We start from the raw sequence: 17,712 nt of genomic DNA, 5'->3' as shown, positions 1-17,712 counted from the left end.
GATCACCTGAGGTCAGGAGTTCGAGACCAGCCTGGCCAACATGGTGAAACCCCGTCTCTACTAAAAATACAAAAATTAGCCGGGCGTGGTGGCGCACCATTGCACTCCAGCCTAGGCAACAAGAGTGCGAAACTCCGTCTCAAGAAAAAAAAAATCTATGGAATGAAAAAAAAATCACCCAGAACTGCACCTTCCAGAGAGAACTGTTGCTCACATGTTGGTATTGGTGTATTTTCTAATATCGTGTTTCTAAGGGGAAAAAGTTGAGTACGCACTGCACCTTCTGGTTTTTCAGCTTGGTTACCTGGGCTGATGATAGCTGCCCCTGAGGGCTCTACGGGTTCCCCACCCTGCTTAAGAAAGAAAGAAACAAAACTCTGGTGACTTCAGTCAGTCAATGTATGCTTTACAAGATGTAGAAAATGTTGGTGAGGTATGTTTTATTATTATTATTATTATTATTTTGCTAGCATTTTTTTGAGATGGAGTCTTGCTCTGTCACCCAGGCTGGAATGCAGTGGTGCAGTCTCAGCTCACTGCAATCTTTGCCTCCCGGGTTCAAGCAATTCTCTGCCTCAGCCTCCCGAGTAGCTCAGATTATAGGTGCCCATCACCACGCCTGGCTAATTTTTGTATTTTTAGTAGAGATGGAGTTTTGCCATGTTGGCCATGCTGGTCTTGAACTCCTGGCCTCAAGTGATCTGCCCACCTTGGCCTCCCAAAGTCCTGGGATTACAGGTGTGAGCCACCACACCTGGCCATTTGCTAGCTTATTTTAATGCTTACTCCCTCACTCCCTATCCCTTCTGATTAATGAGAAATTTAAACATTGCAAACATGTCTGTCTTATGATTAAAAAAGGGGAGCGGGGAGAAATGAACTTTAATGTTTATTTGCTTAAACACACTAAAAGCAGAAAAGGAGAGGGACTAACACCTGACCTAATGTCAGGAGGGCTCCTTTGGCTACCTAAGTGGCCAAGGCACAAACAGAGAGATGACCCAGCTGGCTTCTGGTCCCTTCCACCAAGCAACAAACAGCATGTTCTCCACCAATGCTATGGCTCTTAGAACTCAGAGGGAAGAAGAATCCACTCAGTCCCGACTGGCCTGATCCTAAACCTGCCCCATTCAGAACCCTGCCGTGCCCCTCACATGCAAAGGAAGGTTAGTGCAGAGAAAATACTCTTTGAAGGCTTTTGTGAAGTCTTGTAAGATACGGCTTTCCCTGCAGTGCACCGCAGGTAGAAAGTTGCTCTATTCTGCAGTACAGATTTTAAAGTTAATGATAAACATAGTCTCAAATTATTTATTTTATTTAATTTAATTTTTTGAGATGGAGTTTCGCTCTGTTGTCCAGGCTGGAGTGCAGTGGTGTGATCTTGGCTCACTGCAACCTCCGCCTCCCGGGTTCAAGCGATTCTCCTGCCTCAGCCTCCGAGTAGCTGGGATTACAGGCGCCCACCACAACCAGCTAATTTTTGTATTTTTGGTAGAGACGGGGTTTTACCATGTTGGCCAGGCTGGTCTTGAACTCCTGACCTCAGGTGATCCGCCCACCTTGGCCTCCCAAAGTGCTGGAATTACAGGCATGAGTCACCGACCCTGGCCTCAAATTATCTTTTATTCAGCCACACTAGCTATTAGCCCAGATAGCTTTAGAATCAATCATTTACCTGGAAGAGGATCTCCAGTGCTATCTGGAAAGCCATTTTCTTCTCCCTAAAAACCAAAAAGCAACCTTCATTAAAATCATATCCAAATGTGAATGGAGATATTATCAATCTTCCAACTTAGTTAAATTTCCACCAAAACCCTGGGGGCTGGGGTGGGTGGAGGGACTGGATCTTGAGAATGGCATTTTAATGGGAGGTGAACTCAGCATCTCCCTCTAGAATACGAGCACCTTGAGCGCAGGGGCTTTTGTTTATTTGCTCCCTGTGCTGTCCCAGTGCCCAGAACAGTGCTTGATACACAGCAGACACTCAAATTTGCTAAATGCACTAATGTCCCTATTTTTAAAAATTATCAGCTGGGCACCATAGTTCGTGCCTGCAGCCCCAGCTACTTGGGTGGCTGAGATGGGAAGATTGCTTGAGCCCAGAAGCTGGAGGCTGCAGTGAGCTATGATTGAGACACTGTACTTCGGCCTGAAAGACAGCGCAAGATCTCAAAGAAAAAAAAAAAAGGGTATCAATGCATGCAACAATGTGCTATTTTTATTTTACATTATGGGTTATCTTCCTTATTTTATTTCTTATCTGCTTTTTGTCTGTCAGGGCTTGTTGTCTGTCAATCCAGGTTACAATTCTTTCCCTTTTCTATTTATTTCAGTATATATCGCAAAGCAGCTAAAACCAACTATGAAAAAGTGGCGTCCAAATCTCTTGAGAGGCAATCATGCTTCTGCCCTTCTGATTAGGGCTCCATTTTTACAATCAGGATCATGCTACAGGGATGTGAGGGATTTTTTCTGATCTTGGACAGGTGTGTGTATGTGTGTGTGTGTGTGTGTGTGTGTGTGTGCGCGTGTGTGTGCTTCCCATGAAGTCAGCAGAGGAGACCAGTCCCAGTACACCTTCGTTTATGTTAACTCCATCTTTCTAAAACCAAAATCTTTCTCATCAGCTAATGTCACCCCCCACCCCACCCCCACCCACAGTACTGAAGAAGCACAAGAGGCGAGTCAGAAGCCCTGGGCTTTAGAACCTCAGGCACGGTGCCAATGCGGGTCTCAGATTCCCCGTTTGTGTGTTGAGGTGGCTGTGGGATTAGCTCAGCTCTAAAGTGCCTCTATTTTCTCGGGTCTGAGAGTCTCACCTGTAAAGATGTGCTAACTCCGTCCTGGTGTCAATGTGTGTTTTTTTTTTGTTTTTTTGTTTTTTTTGAGACGGAGTCTTGCTCTGTCGCCCAGGCTGGAGTGCAGTGGCACAATCTCGGCTCACTGCATCTCCGCCTCCTGGGTTCACGCCATTCTCCTGCCTCAGCCTCCCAAGTAGCTGGGACTACAGCCACCCGCCACCACGCCTGGCTAATTTTTGTATTTTTAGCAGAGACAGGGTTTCACCATGTTGGCCGGGATGGTCTCGAACTCCTGACCTCATGATCCGCCCACCTTGGCCTCCCAAAGTGTTGGGATTACAGGTGTGAGCCACAGTGCCCAGCATGTTTTAAACATTTTTAAACAATCTTTCTCTCTTAATCTTCTCAGAGAAGCCTTTCTCCTCATCCCAAGCTCACCCATCGCCATGTCTCAGCAGTGTACATACCTTCACCTAACCACAAGCCTAGATTTTTTGTTTTGTTTTGTTTTCACACAGGCACATTCCCATGTGTTACCAGCTAGACTTTTCTCCTAAGTAATCTAAATATTTCTATCTTTACTGGAACTAAAAACCAACCTGCTTACCATAATTCATACAATTTCTTTTCATTTAGTTGAAGTTTTACCTTCTTCTCACATTTCCCTTACTCAGGAGTGTGTGAGTGTGAGTGTGTGTGTGTGTGTGTGTTTATCAGAGAGAGAGAGTGAGAGAGAAAGAGAGAAACAGATGAAGGACAGAGACAGAAAGAGAGAATTATAGTGAGTCTCTGAACGGATAGAAATCTCTCTCTATGCAACCTTTAGCTTTTTTCAAGGCTAACCCCAGAAGCCCCATGACTTTAGGGACACTAGTCATTACTCCGCAGGTCATGTGGAGACCCGCCTGTTTGCATCTGCAACACTCCTGCAGGATCGGGCAGGTATGTGGGCTCTTTTACCAACACAGTCACCGTTCTGCTCACTGAATTGGAAACCTGGGCTGAGGAAACAGAAACAGGAACTTCAGGTACTGTCGAGAGATACAAATGTTAGAACTTGACAGATTTTGTGGTATTTGAGGTTCCTGCTAAAACATGAACCTGACTCTAAGTAGAAACTATGTTACTTGGCATATTTGACTTGATTTCTCATAATCTGGAGGAAATTTTACCAAGGTCAATGTCTGGCCAGAATCATCCCCGTGATGCAGACAGGGAAATACGAATTACTTGTGAAAGTTGATAAAGATAGAATTTAGATTAATATGCATGATGTTTGTTCTTAGCTCTGATTATCAGGTTGTGCTATGTTGTGGGTTTGTTTTCTAAGGGTGAAATAGGAAAACCACTGATTTTTGTGGGTTTCATAGTCTTAATGAAAGCATACACATGCCTTTATTCAACACCGATTTATTGAGCAGCTAATATGTAAAAACCCCCATATTGCAATGCATAGACAAAGATAAAATGACCTGAACCCTTGACCTCAAGATATGCTGGGAAATGGAGACCACTTAAACAACGAAAATGCAAGGCACAAGATAGTGACTTCCAAGAGAGGGGTACAGATGAAGTCAGAGAGGACAGGTGTCTTCTTATGAAAAAAATCAGAGGCAGTTTCTTGGAGACAGACATGTTTGAGATGGACCCTGCTGAAATCTGGGCAGTGGGGACTTGGGAGGAAGGAGCATTTAGTCTTAAGCAAAGGCAATGGGAGGGGCAAGAGGGAGATGATTCAGAAATCGGGCTGGAAGTTAAGAAAAACAAACAAAACGAAAAGAAGGAGATGAGACAGGTGAATACACTGGGGCCTGTCCAAGGAGCTGGACGTCATTCCGGACAACAGGGAGTCACTGAGGGGCTCTCGCCTGAAGCAGGGTATCCTCAGGGGGTGTCTAAGACCAGCACAGGAAATACCCACCTGGCTACAGTGTAGGACGCATGGGGGAACAGGACATGTGGAGGTGATGGACAGAGAAGGGGGAAGAATGACATAAGCAAGGATTAATGAGACTCCGCATCACTCCTCTAGGAGAGAAGGGGATGAAGTGAGAGCCGCTGTAGAGATGCGATCACTGGGGAAAACAGGAAAGGAGGTGAAATGCAGAGCAAGCTGTGAAGAGGTGACGGAGAAGACAACAAGGGCAGGCTCACACACAACAAGCTTGAGATGCCCCCAGGAGCTGAATGCATGGTCCTGGTCCCTGGGAGAGGCCAGGGCAGGAGATGAAAATAAGGATGTCAAAGTGATTATGAAAGAAATGACTGGAAGTGAAGAGACAGCTGTAAGGTCACAACCTTGAGAAGGACCTGAGAAGGACACTTCAGTGGCAGAGGAAGGAACGAAAGGACAGCAGAGAAAGGAGGTCAGAGAGGGGAAGAAAAGCAGGGGGAGCAGTGTCAAAAGTTGCAGCAAATGGCCAGGCACGGTGGCTCATGCCTGTAATTCCAGCATTTTGGGAGGCCGAGGCGGGCCAATCGCCCGAGGTCAGGAGTTTGAGAGAAGCCTGGCCAACATGGCAAAACCCCGGCTCTACTAAAAACACAAAAATTAGCTGGATGTGGTGGTGAGCGCCTGTGTTCCTAGCTACTCAGGAGGGTGAGGCAGGAGAATCACCTGAACCCGGGAGGCGGAGGTTGCATTGAGCCGAGATCACACCACTGCACTCCAGCCTGAGCGACAGAGCGAGATTCTGTCTCAAAAAAAAAAAAAAAAAAAAAAAAAAAGTTGCAGCAAGGACCACGCATGGTGGCTTGTGCCTGTAATCTCAGCACTTTGGGAGGCTGTGGCAAGAGGATCTTGAGCCCAGGAGTTCAAGGTTGCAGTGAGCTATCATTGAACCACTGCACTCCAGCCCGGGTGACAGAGCGAGACTCCATCTCCAAAAAAAAAAAAATAATACTTGCAGAAAGGTGATGGGCTCTGAGCACCAAGTGAAGACAAGATTTGGTGAGGAGTAGACGAGCAGCGATTTTGAAAGCCGTTCTAGCCGGGTGGTGGCCGGCTGATACCAGGTGGGCAGTGAGGCCATGGAGATGGCTGAAGAACACGCGTGTGGTTGTGTAGGCCTGAAATGCCACCCTCCCCAGCCCTTTCATCTGCTTACTTTCTCTTATCTGTAGGGCCTCAGCTTAGACATCACTTCTGCTAGGACACCTTCTCCAAACCCCCGGTCTGGGTTCTGTGCCCTGGGTGTTCCCCAGGCACCCTGTCCGTGCACCCCACAGGATGCCTGTTCCACTGGGCCTGGAGTGTATTCAAGGAGCAAGGGATGGACCTTGATGATGAAAAGACACCATTTCTTTGGAGATGGGACAAAGAGGGAGAAAAACGGGGGCAAATCTGGAGAAGCCTGAAGGGAGGTGAGATATCCGTTGGCCCAGCCTCCATGTCAGGGCCTAGGAAGCAGAAATGGGGAATGGGGAGTTACCGTTCAATGGGTACAGAATTTCAGTTTGGGAAGACAGAGAAGTTCTGGAGGTGAATGGTGGTGACGGTCGCACAACACCGCGAATATACTTAATGCCACTGAACTGTGCACTTAAAAGTGGTTAAAATGGGCCCGGCACAGTGGCGCACGCCTGTAATCCCAGCACTGGGGAGGCGAGGCGGGCTGATCACCTGAGGTCGGGAGTTCGAGACCAACCTGGCTAACATGGTGAAACCCCGCATCTACTAAAAATACAAAATTAGCCGGGCGTGGTGGTGTGCACCTGTAATCCCAGCTACTCGGAAGGCTGAGGCAGGAGAATCACTTGGACCTAGGAGGCGGAGGTTGCAGTGAACCAAGATCTCGCCACTGCACTCCAGCCTGGATGACAGAGTTAAAAAAGGTTAAAATCGTAACTTTTATGTTATGTGTATTTTACCACAATAAAAAAATGTTTAAAATGTGTTCTCTCAAACGATGTGGGCAGTAGGGAAGGCAACACGCTCGACATGTTCTGTAGAGCCCCGTGCCAGAGTGACACGATACAAACACTATTCCGAGGATAGCAGAGAAATGCCGTGTGAATAACATTTATGAAACAGGAGAGATGGAAAAAATGCAGCATCTCTAAATTAGATTAATCTATGATTTTAAATGTGTGTGTAAATTAATGTAATAACTTAAATCATATAGGTATGCATTTGCATAATCTGTCTACCTTCCTAAAACTTGATGTTAATTTTTCTTAACACTGGCTGGGAAGAACTTCTCATTTATTTAATTGGCGAGGTGTGAGGCCTGGACATGGGTTGTTTCAAACATCTCCTTAAGAACTGTTAAGGTACTGCAGAGTGGAACACCTATGTTTTATATTCAAGTAAACTAAAGAAAACCCCCATTTTGTAAAACTTTCTCATTGTGAGTACAAGGGAATTATCTTATATTTGGGCAAAATGTATTAACTGCTGCCAAGAATTCTTTGAACAGAAAGTCGGCTAAGTTGCATGAATTTCACACCTTGGTTAGTTTATAAACTGACAGTCAAGTCCCATTTCTGCTCAGGGAGCTGAAAGCTCTGGGTACTAAGGAACAGTTGCCTCTGAAGATTTACACCTGAGATTTAATATCAGGCTGCAAGCAGCAGAAACCCCAGGGCACACCCTGGGAAAAGCTCTCAGCTCCGAGCTGAATGTGCAGCCCACGGGGGAATGGACTGATGTGACGGGAGACACGGATAGATTGATGGAGAAGTCAAATAAAAATGAGGAGAGGCCACTGATTTGGACTGAGCTCCTGCACCGAGACCCCAATAGACCAACCCAAAATGGAGTCACTCACACCAGGGTTCCACATCACCAACCCAAAACCTCAGCTGTGTACTCATAAGATCTGATCTTCTGATATCAGGAGAGAGAAATAATAGCTGAATCTCCAAACTGGCCCGTTTTCCCCAAAAGACCCAAACCAAACCAAAACAAAAAAAACTAGGAGATTCACAGCAACCAATCCAAAGGGGCCCAGTCAACCTGAGCTGACATGCTAGGGAAGTCCCCTTTGCTTTAACCCATAGAAGGAAAGTCACCCGAAGTCCCCTGATGTTAACCAATCCACTCTTGGCACGGTGCTTTTTCCTTGTTCCTGCTCAAGCCACCTTCCAAAAACCAACTGTCCTGCAGTGCCCAGCAGAAACCCTGTCTATTTTGTAGACTATGGTGCCTGGTTCATGAATTGTTATTAAAAGCCAATTAGATCTTTAAAACTCAGTACGTTGAAACCTTGTTCTCTGACAGCCCCCACTGGTCCCTTAGGGGCTAGTTTAATGTGAAACATGCTCTTCAGGACGTTTAGTTTGGTCTTGAAATGTCTATGCTTAGCCAACTCATGAAGAGTTCATCTTTGCTACTTTGCAAACTATGGGGAGGATAACCGAATGGGAAAGCATGCCCCAGGCTGGTTCACCTGTTATGACCAAAGTTTGGTTGGAAACCACCACGAACACCAAGACCAAGTTGTCACTGTTCATCTGGTGTGGCAAACTAAATTATAGGCAGAGAACCTGAGAAGAAACGCTCCCCACGCTTATGACTTCTACACCTGAGGTTCCAGTTTAGCTCAATTACTTAACTAGCTTCTTTGGAATCACATTACCTGCTTTCAAGTTATACTGCAGAGCTATACCAACCAGCATGGTAGTAGCATAAAACCAAACACTTAGACCAATGGGACAGAATAGAGAACCAGAAGCAAACCCACACACCTACAGGGAACTCATTTTTGACGAAGGTGCCAAGAGCATACACTGGTGAAAAAGACAGTCTCTTCAATAAATGGTGCTGGGAAAACTGGATATCCATATGCAAAAGAATGAAACTAGACCCCTATCTCCATATACAAAAATCAAATCAAAATCAATGGAAGACTTAAATCTAAGACCTCAAACTATGAAACTACTACAAGAATAACAATGCTAAAGTTTGATCTCTCTGCTTGCAGAAAATATTTCAGTACCTGGCCTTGAAAATATGATTTTAAATGCCTAAGTGTGTGATGGTAATAGGATTCACAGCATATGGATTTAGACCGTTCAAAACTTTTTCAGGCTGGGCACGGTGGCTCATGCCTGTAATCCCAGCACTTTGGGAGGCTGAGGTGGGCAGATCACCTGAGGTCAGGAGTTCAAGACCATCCTGGCCAACACGATGAAACCCCGTCTTTACTAAAAATACAAAAATTAGCCGGGCATGGTGGCAGGTGCCTGTAATCGCAGCTATTCTGGAGGCTGAGGCAGGAGAATCGCTTGAACCAGGCGGCAGAGGTTGTAGTGAGCCAAGATCGCGCCAGTGGACTCCAGCTTGGGTGACAGAGCAAGACTACGTCTCAAAAAAATACAAAAAAAAAACCCCACAAAACTTTCTCATGTCACACAGTCAGTGATAGTCAATCAATTTTCAGGGGTAAGAATTCCCAAGACAAAGCTGGTATCTGTGTAACTCTTTGGAACACATTTACTGATGATCCATGTCTAAACGTTAGTACCAGACTGTGAATCTCCTGTTGGGTTTTTCTAAAAAGCCTGTTTAAACTCAGTTCTTTTTCTGCAAAATAATTACTATTACTGTAATAACTTCACACTTATTTTTACTTTTTCTTACAATATAAGTCCGTATAAAAATGTGGACATATATCTATTATTTGACAGTATACTCCAGAAACTGGCTTTTAGAAATGTATTTGGCCAGGGAATGGTGGCTCATTCCTGTAATCTCAACAGTTTGGGAGGCCAAGGTGGGTGGATTGTCTGAGCCCAGAAGTTCAAAACCAGCCGGGGCAACGTAGTGAGATCCCCCAATCTCTACAAAAAATATACAAAAATGAGGTGTTGTGGTGAGCGCCTGTAGTCCTAGCTATGTGGGAGGCTGAGGTGGGAGGATTGCTTAAGCCCAGGAGATTGAGGCTGTAGTAAGCTGAGATCATGTCATTACACTCCAGCCTGGGTGACAGAGTGGGACCCTGTCTCAAAAAAAAAAAAAAAGAAAAGAAAAAGAAGAAATGTATTTATTTGATTTGGGATACATTTATTAAGTACTTACTGCCCAGTGTAAGAATCCATTCTAGGCTCTGGGATATAGAGACAAAAATCTGTTGCTTCAAGATTATAATCCAGTAATGGAATGAAGACATATGCATAAATATTGACATCATAAGGAACCACGTGTTACAAAGCACAGACAGAAGAGGAAGGCAACCCAGAGGTGGGCAAGAATTCAAGTGAGACCTCAGGGAATGAGGAGCATTTCATTAAGGATAAAAGAGCTAAGGCCGGTGCGCCTGTAATCCCAGCACTTTGGGATGCTGAGGCGGGTGGATCACCTAAGGCCAGGAGTTTGAGACCAGTCTGGCTAACATGGTGAAACCCCGTCTCTACTAAAAATACAAAAAATTGGCTGGGTGTGGCGGTGGGAGCCTGTAACCCCAGCTACTCAGGAGGCTGAGGCAGGAGAATCACTTGAACCTGGGAGGCAGAGGTTGCAGTGAGCCGAGATGGCACCATTGCTCCAGGCTGGGTGACAAGAATGAAACTCCATCTCAAAAAAAAAAAAAAAAAAAAGAGCTAAATAAGAAGAGTGAAAATATAAAATAAATGCTACAGTGCTTTGCTCGGATTACAGCAAACCTGTGGGTTTCTTGACCTGTAGATCTTTCTTCTCTACAATGAGTTTTCTATCCAATTACAAGGAAGACCTGCTTCTTCTGGAGTTGAGTTGAAGTGAGGGTCAAAGACATAACCGTTCCAGGACTTTGAGGCCAGGCATGCTCAGGTGTAATTTCATACCTTTGCTATGGTTTCAAAGATGAAAGATACAGGGGTTTTGCCTTTGTGTAGGATGTAGAGTTTATTATTATTCAGAAATATCACAGAGTATTTTACAGGAGATTATGGTTTGTACATGCAAATACAAGTAGAGCACGGGGCTATGGATATTACAGACAGGCAGGGAGTTTTTGCACCTGTCTATTTCATTCACAAATCCCAGGCTGTAGGACAGAAGTAATGCTAGAACACGGGCAAAAGGAAGGCTGAATGCTGAGGAAATGCATCCACAGACACCCCGGTTCAGTCTCTAATTTTCCTCGGGTGCACAATTGTGTGCTAGCTGACTGCACAGAAAGACCATTTGGCTTCATCTGTCATATATGAAAAGTTTACTGAGTCTAAATACCATCTAAAGTTTTGGATGATTTACTCTATTATTTTTTCTTTGATTTGAAAAAATACCGGCTGGGGGCGGTGGCTCACGGCTGTAATCCCAGCATTTTGGGAGGCTGAAGCAGGCAGATCGCCTGAGCTCAGGAGTTCAAACCAGCCTAACCAACACGGTGAAACCCATCTCTACTAAAAATACAAAAAGTAGCTGGGCGTAATGGCAGGGGCCTGTAATCCCAGCTACTCGGGAGGCTGAGACAGGAGAATCTCTTGAACCTGGGAAGTGAAGGTTGCAGTGAGCTGGGACTGGGCCATCGCATTCCAGCCTGGGCAACAAGAGTGAAACTCCGTCTCAAAAAAAAAAAAAAAAAAAGAAAAAGAAAAAATACCAAAAACACACAAAAGTAAAAATTACTGAAAATCATGCTGTTTTCTTAAAAAATCAAAAAGAGATGGGAAAATCTTTTTCTCTCAATCTATTATTACGTCTCTCAATCCCATCTCACTCCCCACATGTTACTGGTTACAATCTAGGTACTTCCTTCCTGATTCCTTAGTCATGGCCATGTTCACACCTATATAGAAATATTTTTTTAGCCCCAAATCATATTGATCTACAACTTGCTTTATCTGTTTAACAATACATCAGATAAGTTTTTTAAGGCCAGGACTCTCTCTTCTTTTTAATGGTTTAATGATACCCCACAGCACTGATGCACCATAATTTATTCAACCAGTTCCTGCCAACGGGCATGGGAGTTACCCGCAGCTCTTCTCTATTTTGAATGCCGCACTGTGAACCTTGCACCATGTAATGAGTTCTGTAGGATCAAGTCCTTAAAGTGAGATTGCTAGACAGGAGTGTGAATGGGTACTCCCAATTAATTTTCCATAAAGTTGTATCAATTTACACTCTCAACTATGTGTGAGAGCTGCACCCTGACACCCACACCATCCGAATGTCTCAGTGAAATTCTAACCTTCTTGTGAAGTTCAAAGGCATTGCAGCCAGCAGAGCACTGCATGGTAATGAGAAGAGAAGCCATTGAGTCAAACAATTAGAGCTGATAAAGAACTGTCCAGTTTCATTATTAATAAACTTCTCTCCCGCTCTTCTTGGGGAAATAACTACTAAGTGCTAAAAAGCAAGCATTTTTGCCCTTTGGCCTGATTTTTTTTTTTTTTTTTTTTGGTGGGGGACAGAGTCTTGCTCTGTCACCCAGGCTGGAGTGCAGTGGTGCGATCTTGGCTCACTGCAGCCTCCGCCTCCTGGGTTCAAGCGATTTTCCTGCCTCAGCCTCCTGAGTAGTTGAGATTACAGGCATGCACCACTACACCCGGCTAATTTTTGTATTTTTAGTAGAGGCAGGGTTTCACCATGTTGGCCAGGATGGTCTCTATCTCCTGACCTCTTCGTCCGCCCCCCTCAGCCTCCCAAAGTGCTGGGATTACAGGTGTGAGCCACTGCGCCTGGCCTTTTTTTATTTTATGTTTTTTAGAGAGAAAGAATCTGCCTCTGTTGCCCAGGCTGGAGTTCAGTGGCACGATCTTGGCTCACTATGACCTCCGCCTCCAGAGCTCAAGCCATCCTCCCACCTCAGTCTCCCGAGTAGCTGCGACTACAGGCATGCACCACAATGCCCAGGTATTTTTTGTATTTTTGTAGAGATGTTGTTTCACCCTGTTGCCCAGGCTGGTCTCAAACTCCTGGGCTCAAGTGATCTGCCTGCCCCAGCCTCCCAAAGTGCTGGGATTACAGGCGTGAGCCCCCGTGCCCGGTAAACTTGAATATGTTTTACCACAGATATTTTATTTTGTCTAGGTCTAAAAGCAGAAACAAGTCAAAGCCCATAGGTATTAACAGACCACATCAAATCAGAGTACTATGGCTTTTCTTTTTTTAAAAAATATCATTTTTGGGAGACTTCACTATAGAAAAAAAGTACTCAAGGCCTTGAAATGAGGGCGGAGGTTGGGTAGCAGGAACTGGCAGTGGGAAAAATGAGAACAACAGTTGACATTTCATGATTTTTTTCCAGCAATCAAAAACATAGAATGCAGGTGGTCCTGGTTCACCTAAGCCCCGGGCTTGGCAAGGCAGGTCCCATTGAAAATCACCAAGAGCATCACCAAAATGCTTGACCAGGGCATGACGCTGGGTCAGTGAGGCCACAGGACGGCTGCAGGGCCGGGGTTCAAGGTCAAGAACTACATCAGCATCTCTTCACCAGCTCTACAGGGATGAGTTGGGAGCGTGACAGCGAAACACAGGTGCAGAGGGAGTGAGGGGGAGGGGGGAGGGGAAGAAAGAAAAGAGGGTCAGAGAGGGAACTTCAGAGTCGCGGGTAGAGGGTTTGTTCCCAGCGGTGACATGATCTGAGGCGTGGCCATTCCTGTGGTGGCAGAGGCACACGCAGGAGGAAGGTCATGGCAAGGTCACAGTCTGGGATAAAGTTCAGTCTAGAGAAAGTGAGATGTCACAGGCCGAGGAAGGGAAATACCAATGGGAGGTAGAATCAGATCATTATCTGTTTTGGACAAAATTGTCTACAGTTATCTACAGATGGAAAGAGAAGTTCTATGGCTTTTAAGGCACCAGCCAAGTTCTCCTGGCATTACCCATTTATTTTTAACTTTCTAGCGGTCAGTGAGTTATTCCAACACAGGACCCTCCATCCCCTTACTAGAGGTGAGTGAGCGGCCAGCTCTGCAGACTGCTGGGAAGGTAGGTAAATGAAGAACAGAGGAATCAGGGAGATGGAGGAGTGTGAGGCCAAGGGAGATCCGCGATGCTTCCGTTCACAGAAGAGAACAAGTGATTTCTCGCTTGATTTGAACTCAGGAGACGGAGACTGCAGTAAGCAGAGATCGCGCCACTGCACGCCAGCCTGGGCGACAGAGTGAGACTCTTAAAAAAGGAACAGGCACCTGGGCGCGGTGGCTCACGCCTATAATCCCTGTACTTTGGGAGGCCGAGGCGGGCGGATTACAAGGTCAGCAGATCGAGACCATCCTGGCTAAAATGGTGAAACTCCATCTCTACTAAAAATACAAAAGATGAGCCAGACGTGGTGGCGGGCGCCTGTAGTCCCAGCTATTCAGGAGGCTGAGGCAGGAGAATGGCGTGAACCCGGGAGGCAGAGGTTGCAGTGAGCAAAGATCGCGCAACTGCTCTCCAGCCTGGGTGACAGAGCGAGACTCCGTCTCAAAAAAAAAGAACAGGCGATTTCTATTCCAGTGCAACCGACCCCTTGAGATTTCCTCTCCCTTCTTTTAATGTCCAGACAGCTCTGCAACAGGAACCCTTTCACCGCTTGTTTTGAGAACCTGCCGTTGGTTTGGACTGGAATGCAATAGCTGCAAGGCTGAATTAAGTGAGTCCCTCTCAACAATGTTAAAAATACCAAGTATGTGCTCTAGGCAGTTTTATAGTTTCATGTAATAGCCCTGGTTCCTCATTCTATAAACTTCCCATCAGGGATGAAGTAAGGAGTTACCAAGCAAACCAGAACGATCTGATTTTCCCTTAGAGGAAGGAACTAAAGGACTCTCCAGTCTATTAAACAGATCTTGTTGGAGCTTGAAGGGATTCCTGCATATCAAGAGAAGCAGGTAGGGGCCTGTCGGGCTGACACCAGATATCATCTCCAGCAAATGCTGGTCGGGTCCATTCCCTGTTATCATACTGTATGTAATGACTTCGGGTCTGCAGAGAGTCTGGTGAGCTGGTTGCCCTGCCAAGCCAATGAAGTTGTTGGATGGGATTCTGCCCACTGCCTCTCCATCCACTATTTTTTTTTTTTTTAAGACAGAGCCTTGCTCTGTCACCCAGGCTGGAGTACAGTGGCACAATCTCGGCTCACTGCAACCTCCGCCTCACGGGTTTAAGCGATTCTTCTGCTTCAGCCTCCCAAGTAGCTGGGACTACAGGCGCCCGCCACCACGCCCAGCTAATTTTTGTATTCTTAGTAGAGATGGGGTTTCACCATATTGGCCAAGCTGCTCTCGAACTCCTGACCTCATGATCTGCCCGCCTTGGCCTCCCAAAGTGCTGGGATTACAGGCGTGAGCCACCACACACGGCCTTTCCATCCAATTTAAGGAAAGGAGCAACCCTTCCATCTCCCAGTTTTGTTCCAGTAGCTTTTATCTGTACCATTCTGCCAGATGAGTATCATTCAGAACTGTGGAAAAGTCTATATCTCCCTAGATTTAGGCAAGGCAAGAGGCCCAGCAGCAGGTGGTAACAACTGCTACCAACTCAGACAAGCTGGGCATCTGGCGGGGGTGCTGGGCCAGGCCCCGGGCCAACTCTGCTACTCATCCACTGTCCCAGGTTCCCTCATCTGTAAAGCAAGGAGGCTGAACAATGTGATTTCTAAGGTTCCCTTCGGCTTTAAGATGCCAAGTTGTCAAACTGGGCAGCTAGGCCCCAGGCTCTTTCTAAATTGTCAAGACTAGCAAAGCCGAGTCATCCCCCTGCTCTAGTTCTGGATGACACCAAGCCTAGGAAATAAAGCACAATAGATGGGGCCCTGGTCTCTGAATGACAGAGTATGCATGGGGGCTAGGAGGAAGGAGGAATCCAGCTCTCTAAAAGGAAGGTGCAGGCGGTGTGTGAGGGGTCAAAGACAAAGGGGCGTGTCCCACTGAAGATACAAACTCTAGGCCGGGCACGGTGGCTCACGCCTGTAATCCCAGTACTTTGGGAGGCCAAGGCGGGCAGATCACAAGGTCAGGAGATCGAGACCATCTTGGCTAACAGGGTGAAACCCTGTCTCTACTAAAAAAACTACAAAAAGTTAGCCAGGTGTGGTAGCATACGCCTGTAGTCCCAGCTACTCAGGAGGCTGAGGCAGGAGAATTGCTTGAACCCGGGAGATGGAGGTTGCAGTGAGCCAAGATCACGCCACTGCACTCCAGCCTGGGCAACAGAGCGAGACTCTGTCTCAAAAAAGAAAAGAAAAAGAAAAAGAAAAAGATACAAACTCTGCATCCTTGGAAATAGATTTCTGTTTCCTTGATGAGGAAACAAGATAAAACTAGTCACTATGTATTGGGTGGCTACTTTAGCATCAATCATTAACTAAGATAGTTCCCCATTTATTCTGTATAACATAATGCAGAACTTAAATTTTTGAGAGACATGTTAGATATCAAAGAAATCAATTACAGTCATGTGTCCCTTAACAATGGGGATATGGTCTGAGAAATGCGTCCTTAGGTGATTTCGTTGTGTGAACATCATAGAGTGCCCTTACACAAACCTGGATGGTGTAGCCCACCACACACCTAGGCTGGGTGGTAAAGCCTATTGCTCCTGGGCTACAAACCTGTGCAGCATGTTACTGACTTGAATACTGTAGGCAACTGCAACACAATGGTAAATACATATCTAAACACAGAAGAGGCACAGTAAAAACATGGTATTAGAATCTCGGCCAGGCATGGTGGCTCATGCCTGTAATCCCACCACTTTGGGAGGCCAAGGCGGGTGGATCACAAGGTCAGGAGTTAGAGACCAACCCAGCCAATGTGTCGAAACCCCATCCCTACTAGAAATACAATAATTAACCTTGGCACGGTGGTGCGCGCCTGTAATCCCAGCTACTTGGGAGGCTGAGGCAGGAGAATCACTTGAACCTGGGAGGTGGAGGCTGAAGTGAGCTGAGACAATGTCACTGCATTCTAGCCTGGGTGACAGCGAGACTCCATCTCAAAAAAAAAAAAAAAAAAGAAAAAAAGAATCTCAAGGGACCACTGGCGTACACATGGTCTGTTGTTGACAGTAAACTTTATTATGCAGCACAAGACTGTAGTTACTGCTAGGCTTTCAACAGATAAAACAGCATCATTTCTTTTATTTGGTGGCACTTATCACTAGGAAGGGACTTTGAGTGCCTCTGGGTTGCTTAGTGGAAGAACGAACTGGCAATCAGCCTTAGGTCTAGTCTACAAATACAGACATCAGGGTAGTTGTAGGAAAGATACAACCTTATGTGGGAGTGGGGGGCAAGTACTCACATCGTGACATTCACCGAAGCAGCATTTAGAACAGTGAAATAGTTGAAACAATCTCCAAGTCCCGTAATAAACATAAAGAAACCCTTACGTAGCTATACGGCGGAGACTGTAATGGGACATCCTATAGGAGGATGTGAGATGGGATGTCTTTAGTGTCATAGGAGTTTTGATTGGGCCCAAGTGAGGACAGTGGTGTGTACATGTTCCACAGAGAGGTGCTGTTTAAACCCCAAGACCAGCTAAGGGTGGGTCAAATGTGGTGGTATGACCCTTGCCCCAAGCCCCACCTTCAGCTTATAGAAGTGTATTAGTCCATTTTCACACTGCTGTAAAGAACTGCCTGAGACTGGGTAATTTATAAAGAAAAGAGGTTTAATTGACTCAGAGTTCCACATGGCTGAGGAGGCCTCAAGAAACTTACAGTCATGGTAGAAGGTGAAGGAGAAGCAGGGCACGTCTTACATGGCAGTAAGAAAGAGAGAGAGAGAGGGGGGATCGGCCACACACTTTTAAACCATCAGATCTCGTGCAAACTCACTCACTGTCGTGAGAACAGCATGGGGATAACCACCCCCGTGATCCAATCACCTCCCACCAGCTCCCTCCTAAGACACATGGGGATTACAGTTTGAGATGAGACTTGGGTGGGGACACAGAGCCACACCATATCAATAAGAGAAAGAGATTTCTTAGAAGAAATTCACGGAAGGAGTGAAAGCTGGGGCTGCTGCCCTCCCTCTGCTCATAAGGA

General features: G+C 46.0%; 1 protein-coding gene across 3 annotated transcripts in view, besides 1 other annotated feature; it reads right to left on the bottom strand.

Moving 5' to 3' along the window:
- Nucleotides 1-17,712, bottom strand: part of EDARADD (EDAR associated via death domain) — a 136,672-nt gene that overhangs the window by 14,979 nt on the left and 103,981 nt on the right. For all 3 annotated transcript variants that reach the window (NM_001422628.1, NM_145861.4, NM_080738.5), the window contains one exon: nt 1,676-1,721. In NM_001422628.1, coding sequence (NP_001409557.1) covers nt 1,676-1,721 — 46 coding nt within the window. The remainder of the gene's footprint in view (nt 1-1,675; nt 1,722-17,712) is intronic.
- Nucleotides 3,844-3,943: a silencer, noted in NCBI's record as "silent region_2003". NCBI's record gives its function as "represses an Ori minimal core promoter by ATAC-STARR-seq in GM12878 lymphoblastoid cells {active_cell/tissue: GM12878}" and the evidence as "EXISTENCE:reporter gene assay evidence [ECO:0000049][PMID:35858748]".

Source organism: Homo sapiens, chromosome 1, assembly GCF_000001405.40.
Source record: "Homo sapiens chromosome 1, GRCh38.p14 Primary Assembly".
In the NCBI taxonomy this organism is placed as follows: Eukaryota; Metazoa; Chordata; class Mammalia; order Primates; family Hominidae; genus Homo; species Homo sapiens.
The sequence above is the reverse complement of the archived record's forward strand: the minus strand, read 5'-3'. Positions and strand labels throughout refer to the sequence as shown.